General features: G+C 40.1%; 1 protein-coding gene across 13 annotated transcripts in view, besides 1 other annotated feature; it reads left to right on the top strand.

Moving 5' to 3' along the window:
- Positions 1–12,847, top strand: part of AFG1L (AFG1 like ATPase) — a 230,948-nt gene that overhangs the window by 45,235 nt on the left and 172,866 nt on the right. For 9 of the 13 annotated variants that reach the window (XR_007059229.1, NM_145315.5, NM_001323005.2 and 6 more), the window contains one exon: positions 6,700–6,751. The exons of 3 other annotated variants lie outside the window; for them this stretch is intronic. Coding sequence is in view for 8 of the 10 variants with exons in the window: in NM_145315.5 (NP_660358.2) it covers positions 6,700–6,751 (52 nt within the window). In the remaining 2 variants the exon portion in view is untranslated. Of the gene's footprint in view, positions 1–4,303; positions 4,574–6,699; positions 6,752–12,847 lie in introns of those variants that run through there. One more of the 13 variants, XM_017010648.2, reaches the window with a different exon arrangement.
- Positions 8,435–8,604: an enhancer, noted in NCBI's record as "active region_24913". NCBI's record gives its function as "activates an Ori minimal core promoter by ATAC-STARR-seq in GM12878 lymphoblastoid cells {active_cell/tissue: GM12878}" and the evidence as "EXISTENCE:reporter gene assay evidence [ECO:0000049][PMID:35858748]".

The following is a 12,847-nucleotide window of genomic DNA, read 5'->3' on the forward strand; positions in this document are numbered from 1 at the left end:
TGCAGTTTTTTTTTTTGCAGTTTATTTGCTGTTTTTCCTTCCTTAGGATTTTTTCTAACAGAAAGTTATAATTTCAGTGTTTTTTTTTTTTTTGAGATGGAGTCTCGCTCTGTTGTCCAGGCTGGAGTGCAGTGGTGTGATCTAAGCTCACTGCAACCTCCATCTCCCAATTTCAAGCGATTCTCCTCCTCAGCCTCTCCCAAGTAGCTGGGATTACAGGCGTGTGCCACCACAGCCAGCTAATATTTGTATTTTTAGTAGAGACAGGGTCTCACCATGTTGGTCAGGCTGGTCTCGAACTCCTGACCTCAAGTGATCTGCCCGCCTCAGCCTCCCAAAGTGCTGGGATTACAGGTGTGAGCTTTATAAGCTGTTGATAAGGATTACAAGAGAAGAGGAATTTAATGTGATGGGCCCTGGTTCCTGAGAAGGTAGATGGGGTATAAAATCAAACACTGATAGAAGGTTGGAAGAAGGACAGGAAGAGGAATCGTTTTCCTTTGTAACAGGAGGAATGTCACAGGAGGGAGGAATGGATGGGTGCAGACGTGGGTGGGATTGCAGTTTCACATAGGAAGTTGAAGGACTTTCAACCCAATGCCTTCTGTTCTCTTTATGAAGAAGTAGGAGACATCTTCTGAAAGTGATGAGTGAAATGTAGTTTTGCTTAATGGGAAGTAAGAAGGTTCCAGAGATTCTTTGCAGAGACACAGTGAACTCACCAGGAAAACAGAATTGTTGACAATATGGAGGGCCCAGAGAGAGGGTCCTCTCTGCACGACTGTCAGACTTTTTTCAGCAATCCTCAGCAATCTGGGTGAAGTTCATGGAAGGGTATATATTTTAGTATGAGATTTTTCTATTTTTAGCTATCTTTTTATCATTTATATATGATTTTATTAAATTATGGTTAGAGTACATTTGATTCTTTGGAATTTATTGAAGTTTTCTTTCTGGCTTAGCATATGGACTATATTTGAAATTATGCTGCTAGTTCTTGAATGTATTCTTGGTTTGTTGGGTTTAGAGTTTATATGGATGTAAATTGCTTGAACTTACTAATTGTATTGTTCAGATCTTTGAGAGGGATGTGTCAAAGGGTGTGATGTTTCTTTTTTCACGAATTACAGGTCTGAGTATAAACAGGTATTGGTAAGCACATTATGTTTGCAGTCTTTGGCGTGATTACACATGCAAAGGTGAGCAGTGATGGGGAACTTCCCTGTGCTGGGCCCTGCACCCAACAGATAAGGAGACAGCAGGTTGGAGAGTTGAGAGGGCTTACCCAGGGTCACCTAGCTAATAAATAGCCAGCCAGGATTTGTACCTAGATCTTTTGGGTTCAACTCTAATACTCTTCTGCCATATCTCTTATGCTTGGTGGAGGTAGGTGGTAGGTTATCACTGTCTTCCAACATCATCCTTAAGCTTATGAGCTTATGATCTATCTGCACAATCTAAAAGGTGATGTCACTGGATCCTCATCAAAAGCCCATTAGAGAAGGTGTCATCATCCTACTTTACAAACTCCCTAAGATACAGGTAACTTGTGACAAATCTTATAACTGGTCACTAGAGAAACTTAGTCATTTCAGATTTTGAAGTCTGAGTCTAATGTTACGTGTGTGCATTTTGGGAGTCCGGGATGTATCAGAGTCCTGGCAGAAAACAATTCACAGCAGATGTTTCAATAAAGACCAAATTTAGAGACTACTTAGAGAGGCATGGGCAGGCTTAAGGCAGCAAACAAGGGATGGAAGGGCAAAGGAGGAGACTGGTGAGAGCTGGAGCTGTGGCCTGAGGGATGGGTCGCTTGTTGGTCTGGAGGGATGCAGCTCTACTGGGACACAGCTCTGAAGCAGGGAGGGATGGGAGAGAACGACCCATCCCTTTCTATGCCCTCTGTCCTGTTTCCTGCAAGGAATGCCTCCCACAGGCTGAACCAGCCAGGAGCCAGCCAGAAAGGGCAGTCGCTTGGGGTACAGACAGGACGGAGAAGGCATCAGGGGAGGGGAGCACATGGAGAATGACCAGCACCAAGAAACAGTGTAAGGGTGGAGTTCACTGTGATTTCTGAGACATAAGGACAAGTTATAGGGAATTAAATTTAAGGAAGGAAATTTAATAGAAAAATAGCATTAAGTTGTGAGAAAATGTAAATTAGGAGCATGCAAATGATGTGGGTTCCTAAGGGACAGCCATTTTGAAGAAAACCGTGTAACCCTTCCTCTCCTTGAAATCACTACTATTAATAAAGAATTCAAAAACTTCTTTAGGACCCATTTTATATCCTTCTGATTAGTCTTACTGTTCTCCATTTGATCCTCTGATTTTTCCCTTAAGACATAGATTTTTAAACCCCTTAAAATAATTTCAATAATTATTAGAAAACTGAAATTTTTATTAGGAGAAAATTAGCTTGTTTCCCCAAGTAAAAATACGTGGAGTATATAATATTGTTTAGATAGACTATGTCTGTGTCTAATGATTCTCGTTAGGAGGGTATTCATTTTGTTGATCAATTTACTTATATTAAAATCCCCGTCTTATACAGTATTCATGTGATATGAGGTATTTGTGATCTTAGACGTTTGAGGATCTTTTCTTTGGCACAGCAGTATCTCTTTGTCATCTTCTGAATATTACTATAAAATATAATACAACATAACAGATTATATATGTAATATATAATGTAGTATTTGCTAAAGTGCTCTTTATAAAATATATTGAGTTGAGAGGGAAAAATAGAAGAGAGGACTGTGAGTGCAACTTTTTCTTTTTCTTTTTTTTTTTTGAGTTGGAGTCTTCCTCTGTTGCCCAGGCTGGAGTGCAATGGTGCGATCTTGGCTTACTGCAACCTCTGCCTCCCTGGTTCAAGTGATTCTCCTGCCTCAGCCTCCTGAGTAGCCTGCCACCATGCCTGGCAAATTTTTGTATTTTTGGTAGAGACGGGGTTTCACCATGTTGGCCACTGGTCTTGAACTCCTGACCTCAAGTGATCTGCCCACTGGGGCCTCCCAAAGTGTTAGGATTTCAGGTGTGAGCCACCACGCCCGGCCAACCTTTTTGTTTTTTTTTAGCAGCATTCAGCTCTCTCCATGCAATCTTTCCCCCCATCTTTCTTCATTCCTTTTCCCTGAACTTCATTTATTCAGCCTATCTTGAGTATATAATGTAGCAGTATTAGAATAGGCCTTAAACTATTCCCACAAAATGTATTGTGAAGAATTATGAATTGCTATGACACTCTCAGTTACCTAATACAAAATGCTGCTTTCAAAATATTTCACATACATAGAATATACTTAGAGATTATTAGGTTTTATGCAAGTTTTCCAATTTGAAGCTGTTCTAAAATTAAGAGCATAATGCTTTTTCTGGCAAGTTGAAAATAGAATAACCATTGCATGATAATGGTTCATATAAGAAACAAAAAAACAAGAAAAATTAAGAAGTTTTGGCAGGAGTAGAAAACTGTTTTGAGTGGAGATTTAAGAATAGATGGAGAGTTAACATGCAGAGAGATACCAGGAAGCCATCCAGATGGCAGAGTCAAAGCAAAGAAGATCCTTTTGTCTGGCCTAGACCATGAGTGAGGTCTAGAAGGCACAAGCTACATTTAGTAGAGAAAGAAAGCAAAAAGGAACAGGAAAGCAAGAGAGGTTTCTGAGGCAGGTTGGAATGAACCCATAAATTATAAAACAAAAACAGGCCAGGTATGGTGGCTCATGCCTACAATCCCAGCGCTTTGGGAGGCCTAGGCAGCAGTTTAAGACCAGACTGGGCAACATAGTGAGACCCCATCTCTACAGGATAGTTTGTTTGTTTGTTTGTTTGTTTTTTGAGATGGAGTCTCGTTCTGTTGCCCAGGCTGGGTGCAGTGGTGTGATCTCGGCTCACTGCAACCTCCGCCTCCTGGTTCAAGGTGATTCTCCCACCTCAGCCTCCCAAGTAGCTGAGATTATAGGCATGCACCACAGCGCCCAGCTAATTTTTGTATTTTCAGAAGAGACAGGGTTTGACCATGTTGGCCAGGCTGGTCTTGAACTCCTGACCTCAAGTGATCTGCCTGCCTTGGCCTCCCAAAGTGCTAGGATTACAGGCATGAGCCATCGCGCCCAGCCTACAGGATAGTTTTTTTTCATAAAAAATTAGCTGGATGTAGTGGTGTCCACCTGCCCCAGCTACTCAGGAGGCTGAGGCAAGAGGATTGCTTGAGTCCAGGAGTTCAAGGCTGTAGTATGCTATGATCATGCCACTGCACTCCAGCCTGGATGACAGAGTGAGACCCTGTCTCTAAAATAAATAAAATAAGACAAAGCCAAAAGCCTTATGGATGAGACCCTGAAAGCTAGGTTTTGAGAATGTTCTCTGCCAAATTATTGACCACTCCGGTTGATGCTAAGTGGCATAATCTTCACTTTTTTCTGTTTTACCCTCCCTTTCTGAACTCACTCCACCCTGTCATACCTTGTTTTTTGCACAGGTGTTAGGAACTGCTGCAGAGTATGAAGGTTACTCGTCTAAGTGTAACAAAATTCAAGATGGTTATTTGGGTTGATAATAGCATTAGGTAAGATAAGTTCTATTTTGCTTCATCTCCAGAGCCCTTCAGTTTCCAGTTTTGCTCTGGACCTGACTGCTTTCCTGACCTGCAGTGCCACTGTGGTCCTGGAAGCAGGCCTCCCTCTGACAAGCTTTTTTCCCTCTCAGGGGCCCTCTACATTTCCCAGAGCCTATGTTTTCTTCTTGCTGAGTAGGAAGTTTTGTTCATACCCTGAATTTATGAAAGGACAATTTTCCATTTTCACACTTGATGAATAGATTGGATGGATTGGTAGGAAATCATTTTTCCTCAATTGAAACAATTTCTTTTTTGTAAAAATGGTGTCTTGCATTGTTGCCCAGGCTAGTCTCAAACTCCGGGGCTCAAGCAATCCTAATGCCTCAGCCTCCCAAACATCATTTATTGAAGAGACAATTTCTTTCTCCCACTATGCTTTATATAGTTTTAGTAGCTTCTCTTATTTTTCTTCAGTATATTATTATATTGACTTCACTTTTATTTTTATTGATTGATTGATTGAGTGAGACAGGGTCTTGCTCTGTTGTCCAGGCTGGAGTGCAGTGATGTGATCTCGATTCACTGTAGTCTCCACCTCCCGGGCTCAAGCAATCCTTCCACCTCAGCCTCCGAAGTAGCTGGGACTGCGGGAGTACATCACCATGCCGGCTGATTTTTGTAGAGATGGGGTTTTGCTATGTTGCCCAGGCTAGAGCTCAAACAATCTGACCACCTTGGCCTCCCAAAGTGCTGGAATTATAGATGTGAGCCACCATGCCTGGCCCACTTTTATTTTTGAGATTTTTTTTTTTTGATGTCTGAATAGTCCTCTGTTTCCTCTGAGTTTATTCCCCTCTGCATATTTGTTCTGGTCTCTGACTTTTATGTTGGAAGTTTTTTCCAAATATCCATTGACCATTGGTACTAACAAGCTGATTGAAACTCCAGCTTGAGAGGTTTGGTGACTGGTGTGCTTTACCAGAAGGTAATCTGGTAGGGATCTAGGTCTTTCTTTGGGAGAAGCTTAACCAGTGTAAGTGCCTTCTGGCCTTTTTATCTGGAGATCATTCAGTTTCTCCAGAAAAATTCTTCTACTCTATTAATTGCTGAGAATGAACCTAGCTGTCATTGTTTGGGGAGCCCATCTGGGAAAGAAGAAGGGAAAGACTACATGGCTGGTAAATGGTAGAGGGGATGTACATTCAAGTTGTGTGACTGTGAACCCCTCGCTGTGGGCTACTATGGTTATTGCCTCCTGTGTTGAATCCTAAGAGGGGCTTCACAGCATTTTTTCCAATTTCCTTTTGTGGTAAATACACACATAAGATTTACCATCTTAATCATTTTTTAAGAGTACAGTTCAGTGGTATTAAATACATTCTTAATGTCATGCAGCCATCACTACCATTTATCTCCAGAACTACTTTCATCTTGTAAAACTGAAACTCTGAACCCATTAAACAATAATTCCCCATTCCTTCCTCCCTCCAGCCCCTGGCAACCCCTTTTTCTACTTTTTTTTTTTTAAATTGAGATGGGGTCTTGCTCTGTTGTCTAGGCTGCAGTACAGTGGTGTGAACATGGCTCACTGTAGCCTTGACCTCCTGAGTTCAAACAATCCTTCAACTTCAGCCCCCTGAGTAACTGGGACCACAGGCGCATGCCACCATGCCTGGCTAATTCTTTTTAACTATTTGCAGAGATGAGGTCTCCCTATATTGCCCAGGCTGGTCTTGAACTCTTGGGCTCAAGTGATCCTCCCACCTCAGCCTCCCAAAGTGCTCAGATTATAGGTGTGAGCCACAGCACCTGACTTCTACTTTCTGTCTCTTTAATTGTTCGCTGTTCTAAGTACCTCATGTAAGTGGAATGGAGAATATTTGTCTTTTTGTGACTGGTTTATGTCACCTAGCATAATGTCCCCAATGTTCATTCATGTATACGTTAGAGTTTTTTCCCTTTTTAAGGCTGCATAATATTTCAGCTTTAAACACTTTTATATCAAGTTTTTTTCTTACTTATTGTATATAATAGCCCCTCTTGGTTCTGTATATAGGACAGTTAGGAAGACTATGTATATGATTATATTTAATTATTTGCATGGTAGAGATTTATAATTTGTTCTTAATTTGCAGCTTTTTTCAAGGAGCAAACCTCCAAGGGGCCTGTATGTTTATGGAGATGTTGGTAAGTGTGTTAAAATAAGTTTTGGGTGGGCAAAACAGAAAGTTTCTCAGCTTTCTCTCAGGGATGATTTCTATTTCTATCCCTCAATCTGTTACCAGCAAGGGAATAGGATGAGGCAGGGTAAGGTAGGGAGAGAAGAAAAGGGAGAGAGGGCAGTTATCTCAGCTTTTACTTTACTTCTCACAGGATACAGCTGTAGTCTAGGGCAGAATTAGTCACCATGTTAGGGTGCAAACATTATTTAATGTATAAAGTAATTAATATCAGGGAAGGAAATCAACTACAGATAGGTTATTAGACAAATCAGGATTCCATGACTCATTAACTCAGCTTAATACTTTTTAAAAAAATAAGCTGTTCTTTTTTACTTTTAATTTCCATTAATATTTCTAGTCATAACCTAAGCCCTTGGATGAATAATTTAGTCGTTATTATCTTTAATGTAGTTGACAGTAGATACTCTTAATGCATAAGTGGTAACATTTCCTTGGTCTCCCAGTTCTAGACATTGGGCAGAAAGACTCACATATTGCTGGAAACTTTCTGAGTGGTCACTTCTTTCTAGGTTTTCCTAATCATGTAGTGTCTTGCTTATGAAGTCTTCCCTGACCTCATTCTTACTGAAATATTCTGTTTTGTGGTTTCTATTTTCTTCAAACAAATCCTTTTCTCTTAGTCTTAAACCTCTCCTTGGCCACCCTCAGCCACTGATATCATGAAGGAGTTTCTACTTGGCTTTTTTGCCTCCTTGCTTTCAATTATTTCTTTGATGTCTTTTTTAATTTTTTAATTTTAATTTTTTCTAATCCCTCAGTTTACTGTCAATCAATTATTTCTTCTACTGGCATACTCAAAACTCACATTCACATGTAACGAGGTCAGTTTTGGACCTAGACTAATATTCACACTCTAGGCTCCCCTATAGCCACAACACATTTGCGTTATGAGGGAGTGATGGCAGGGGATATTATCTTAGTAACATTTTTAGGAAAAGAAAAAAAAAGGGCATTGAATAAGTAGGTTTTGTTTTGTTTTTGTTTTTGTTTTTGTTTTTGTTTTGAGATGGAGTCTCTCTCTGTCACCCAGGCTGGTGCGGTGGCGCGATCTCGGCTCACTGCAAGCTCCGCCTCCCGGGTTCACGCCATTCTCCTGCCTCAGCCTCCCAAGTAGCTGGGACGACAGGTGTCTGCCACCATGCCCGGCTAATTTTTTGTATTTTTAGTAGAGACGGGGTTTCACCGTGTTAGCCAGGATGGCCTCGATCTCCTGACCTCGTGATCCGCTCTCCTCGGCCTTCCAAAGTGCTGGGATTACAGGCATGAGCCATGGCGCCCAGCCAAATAAGTAGTTTTAATGCCTTAAAGATTAAACTGTTCCTTTCTAAACTGTTCCTTCTTTTTCTAATTTGTTTACTGCTACCTTGCATTGAATGTCCGTTTTGTATTTCCAGATTTAGCTAATCTAATAAGAGAGAATAATTTAGTTCACAAAAGTGAACATTAGAGATTGCCCCTTAAAATTCTTCAGGTTCTTGAAATTACAGAAAAGAAGGTCAAACTATTCTTTTTCTTAGTTCATTGGCTAATTGGTACTTTTGAGACCAATGTATACTTACTTCTTATTTTGAAAGCAGTTATAACAGACACTTGATCAATTTTATGTTCCTGCACCTTTGGGCACCATTAATGATTCTCATCTTGTTGTCAGGTCTCATTCTTTGCCTCCTGAGAACATCTACTTCCAGTACCTTCACTTTCATATTAAGTCATCGCTAAAATCAACAACTTTGTTCCTCCTGTTACCTTAACCACCTGACCATAAATGGAGATGGTTAAAGAAGCATAACTGCTTCCACTTCTGTAAAAGCACTTTTTTTTTAAAAACCCTATGAATGTTGTTGGATTTTAGTTTAGAAAATACAGCCATATGGTAACTAATTGAAGGGAAGCATATTACAAGTTATTCATCTGAGTGTTTGAAAGCAATAGAAAAGATGTGATAGTATGGGATGTTCATATAGTTTGGGTAGGTGGCAACCTTTGTTTGGAAACATCCTTATAATATAGAGAGGGGAAGAGAAAGGAATTCTGAAATGGGAAGTGAGACGAACATTTTGGTGGCTATAATAAGTTTAGTTCAGACCACTTATAAAATATGTAATCGGCCAGGCATGGTGGCTCATACCTGTAATCCCAGCACTTTGGTAGGCCGAGGCGAGTGGATTGCCTAAGCCCAGGAGTTCAAGACCAGCCTGGGCAACATGGCAAAACCCTGTCTCCACAAAAAATACAAAAATTAGCCTGGTGTGGTGGCATGTGCCTATAGTCCCAATTACTCGAGAGGCTAAGGTGGGAGGATCACTTGAGCCTAGGAGGTCAAGGCTGCAGTGAGCCATGATTATGCCACTGCACTCCAGTCTGGGCAACAGAGTGAGACCCCCATCTCAAAAATGAAATAAAATAGGTAATAAAAGATCAAGTTTTCATTTGAGGGGCTCTCTGTATGGGAGAGTAGCCTCAAAATGCCACCATAAGCTCTTATTCTTTATTCTTTTCCTTTGTTGGACTTGGGAAACAGGTATTAAATTTTAACAAGGCTGGGCATGGTGGCTCATGCCTGTAATCTCAGCACTTTGGGAGGCTGAGGCAGGATGATTGCTTAAGACCAGGAGTTTGAGACTAGCCTGGACAACTAGGTGAGACCCCATCTCTACAAAAAAATTAAAAAATTAGCTGAGCATGGTGGTGTGTGCCTGTGGTTCCAGCTACTCAGTAGGATGAGGTGGGAGGATCACTTGAGCCTGGGAGATCAAGGTTGCAGTGAGTTGAGATTGCACCACTGCACTCCAGCCTGGGCTACAGAGTGAGGCCCTATCTTAAAAATAAATAAATAAGTAAATTGGGCTAGGTGCGGTGGCCCACGCCTATAATGCCAGCAACTTTGGGGGGCTGAGGGGGGCGGGTCATTGAGGTCAGGATTTCAGACCAGCCTGGCCAAAATGGTGAAACCCCGCCTCTACTAAAAGTACAAAAATTAGCCGGGTGTGGTGGTGGGTGCCTGTAGTCACAGCTACTCAGGAGGCTGAGGCAGAGGTTGCAGTGAGCCGAGATCGCACCACTGCACTCCAGCCTGGGCAACAGAACAAGACTCTGTCTCAAAATAAATAAATAAATACATAAGTAAATAAAATAAAAATAAATAAATAAACATGCTTGAGCTCAGGAGTTCGAGACCAGCCTGGGCAACATAGGGAGACCTCATCTCTTATGTATTTTTTTTTTTTAAGAAAAATTTAAATAAATAAATAATTTTTAAGGAGACTTCATGGGATAGAGAATACCTACCTGGTAGCACTCCCTTCCCACTTTTCATTCTTGCACTCTATTTGGGCTTTGTCCTGCTCACTTCACCTCTTTCTTCGCAGATGTGTTGAGATGATTGACTCAGATGGATTCTAAATCCTGGGAACTGCAGTAGGGTTGATGTATGAGTTGGAGGGATTATTATCATGGTTCAATCTTGAAATGAATTATTTTTGTTATAAAATGTTTATCACATCTCATATAGAAGCCAAAAGCTGTGGTAGTAGTATTTTGTGACTTCATTCATACCCTACAGCTGGCTTTCTCACAACAGAGCCTCAGCTCTTGACCAGCTGACTGCGGTGGTGATGGCAGAGTTAATGATTTCTCTGGTACACTAGAAGAGAATAAAAGTACATTTTGCTTATCAGCCCCTTTCCTGCTGCCTCCTGGTTTCACCTCACCTGTTTCACATTGATTCAGATTCTAGTTTCACCAGGTGAAAGGTAGGCTGGTTTTAAGGTTAGGAGTTAGGAAGCATAGTTCTCCCTGGCTTGGATGTAGGGATACATGTGCCTACTACACACCTAGGCTGTATTATAGAACCTATTCCTCCTGTGCTACAAACCTGTGCAGCATGTTACTGTATTGAATACTGTAGGCAGTTGTAACGCTGTGGTATTTGTTTATCTAAACATATCTAAACAGAGAAGGTGCAGTAATAATACAGTATAATAGATAAAATATGGGATGCCTGTTTGACCATGAATGGACTGGAAGTTGCTCTGAATGAATCAGTGAGTGAGTGGTGAGTGGATGTGAAGGCTGAGGACATTTCTGTATACTACTTTATACAAGATGTTATCAGTGCTGTGTACTTGGGCTACACTAAATTTATAAAAAAAATTAATTGTACTTCCATGTTAGGATAGCTATGACATCACTAAGTGATAGAAGTTTTTCAGCTTCTTTATAATCTTTTGGGACCACCATTGTGTATGTGGTCCATTGTTGACCAAAATGTCATTATATGCGTTACTGTTTATAGAAATGCGGTGGATTTTTTGATGACCTTGTATCCTGTGATCTTGCTAAATTTAATTATTAACTCTAGTGGTGATTTGGTAGATTCTTTAGGATTTTTTTGTGTGTATACAATTAGGTCATCTGCCAATAAAGATAATTTTACTTCTTTAAATTTTTATGCCTTTTATTTCTTTTTGCTGCCTCCTTGCACCAGCTAGGACCCGAGTACAATGTTGAATAGAAGTGGTGCGTGTAGACATCCTTGCCTGTGTCAAATTGTAGGGGAGAAGTGTGCAGTCTTTTACAAATAAGCATATTAACTATATGTTTTAAAAAATGTATTCAATTGTTTTTATTATGGTAAAACACGTAACATAAAATTTTCCCTTTTAAACATTTCCAGTGTATGATTCAGTATCATTAAGTCTATTCACATTGTTGTACAACTATTACCACCATCCATTTTCAGAACATGAGTGTAGACATCCTTGCCTTTGTCAAATTGTAGGGGAGAAGTGTTCAGTCTTTTACCAATAAGCATATTAACTAAAGCTTTTTAAAAATGTATTTAATTGTTTTTATTATGGTAAAACACATTACATAAAATTTACCCTTTTAAACATTTTCAGTGTATAATTCAGTAGTATTGTCTGTTCACATTGTTGTACAACTATTACCACCATCTATCTTCAGAACATTTTTATCTTCCCAAACTGAAACTCTGTGTCCATTAAACAACAACATCCTATTCTACCTCTCTCCCACATTTTCCACATCCCACCCCAGACTCCCCTGGCCTGGCAACCACCATTCTACTTTCTGTCTTTATGAATTTGATTATTCTTCAGTACCTTATATAAATGGAATCATATAATATTTGTCCTTTTGGGTCTGGATTATTTTACTTAGCAAAATATCTTCAAGATTCATCCATATTATTGTGTATTGCATATGAGTTGGATTCCTTTTTAAGGCTGAATAATATACTTGGTATTCATGGGGGATTGGTTTCAGGATGCCCTTGGATACTAAAATTTGAGGATGCTCAAGTCCCTTATGTAAAATGGTGTAGCATTTGCATATAAACTTTGTGTGTTGTCCTGTACACTTTAAATCCTCTAGATTACTTATAACAATGTAAATGGTACATAAATGCTATAATAGTTGTTATACTATATTGTTTTTTGTTTATGATGATGATTATTATTATTTTGAAGCAGGGTCTCGCTCTGTCGCCCAGGTCCTGAAGTGTAGTGGCGTGATCTCAGCACACTGCAACCTCCACCTTCTGGGCTTAAGCGATCCTCCTGCCTCAGCTTTTCGAGTAGCTGGGACTACAGGCATGCACCACAATGCCCAACTAATTTTTATATTTTTTTGTGGAGATGGGATTTTGCCATATCACCCGGGCTGGTCTCGAACACCTGGACTCAAGTAATCTGCCTGCCTTGGACTCCCAAATTGCTGGGATTATAGGTGTGAGCCACTCCACCTGTTCCTTATATTATTTTTTATTTTAAAAAATATTTTTGATCCACTGTTGGTTGAATCTGGGGATGTAGAAACTAGATACAGAGGGCCAACTGTAACATTTTATGTATATACCACTTTTTGTTTATCCATTCATCCATTAATGGATGTTTGGGTTGTTCCATCTTTTGACTATTGTGAATAATTCTGCTGTGAATATTGAAGTGTAAATATTTGTTTGAATCCCTGCTTTCGGTTGTTTTGTGCATATACTCAGAAGTGGAATTGCTGGATCCTA

Source organism: Homo sapiens, chromosome 6, assembly GCF_000001405.40.
Source record: "Homo sapiens chromosome 6, GRCh38.p14 Primary Assembly".
In the NCBI taxonomy this organism is placed as follows: Eukaryota; Metazoa; Chordata; class Mammalia; order Primates; family Hominidae; genus Homo; species Homo sapiens.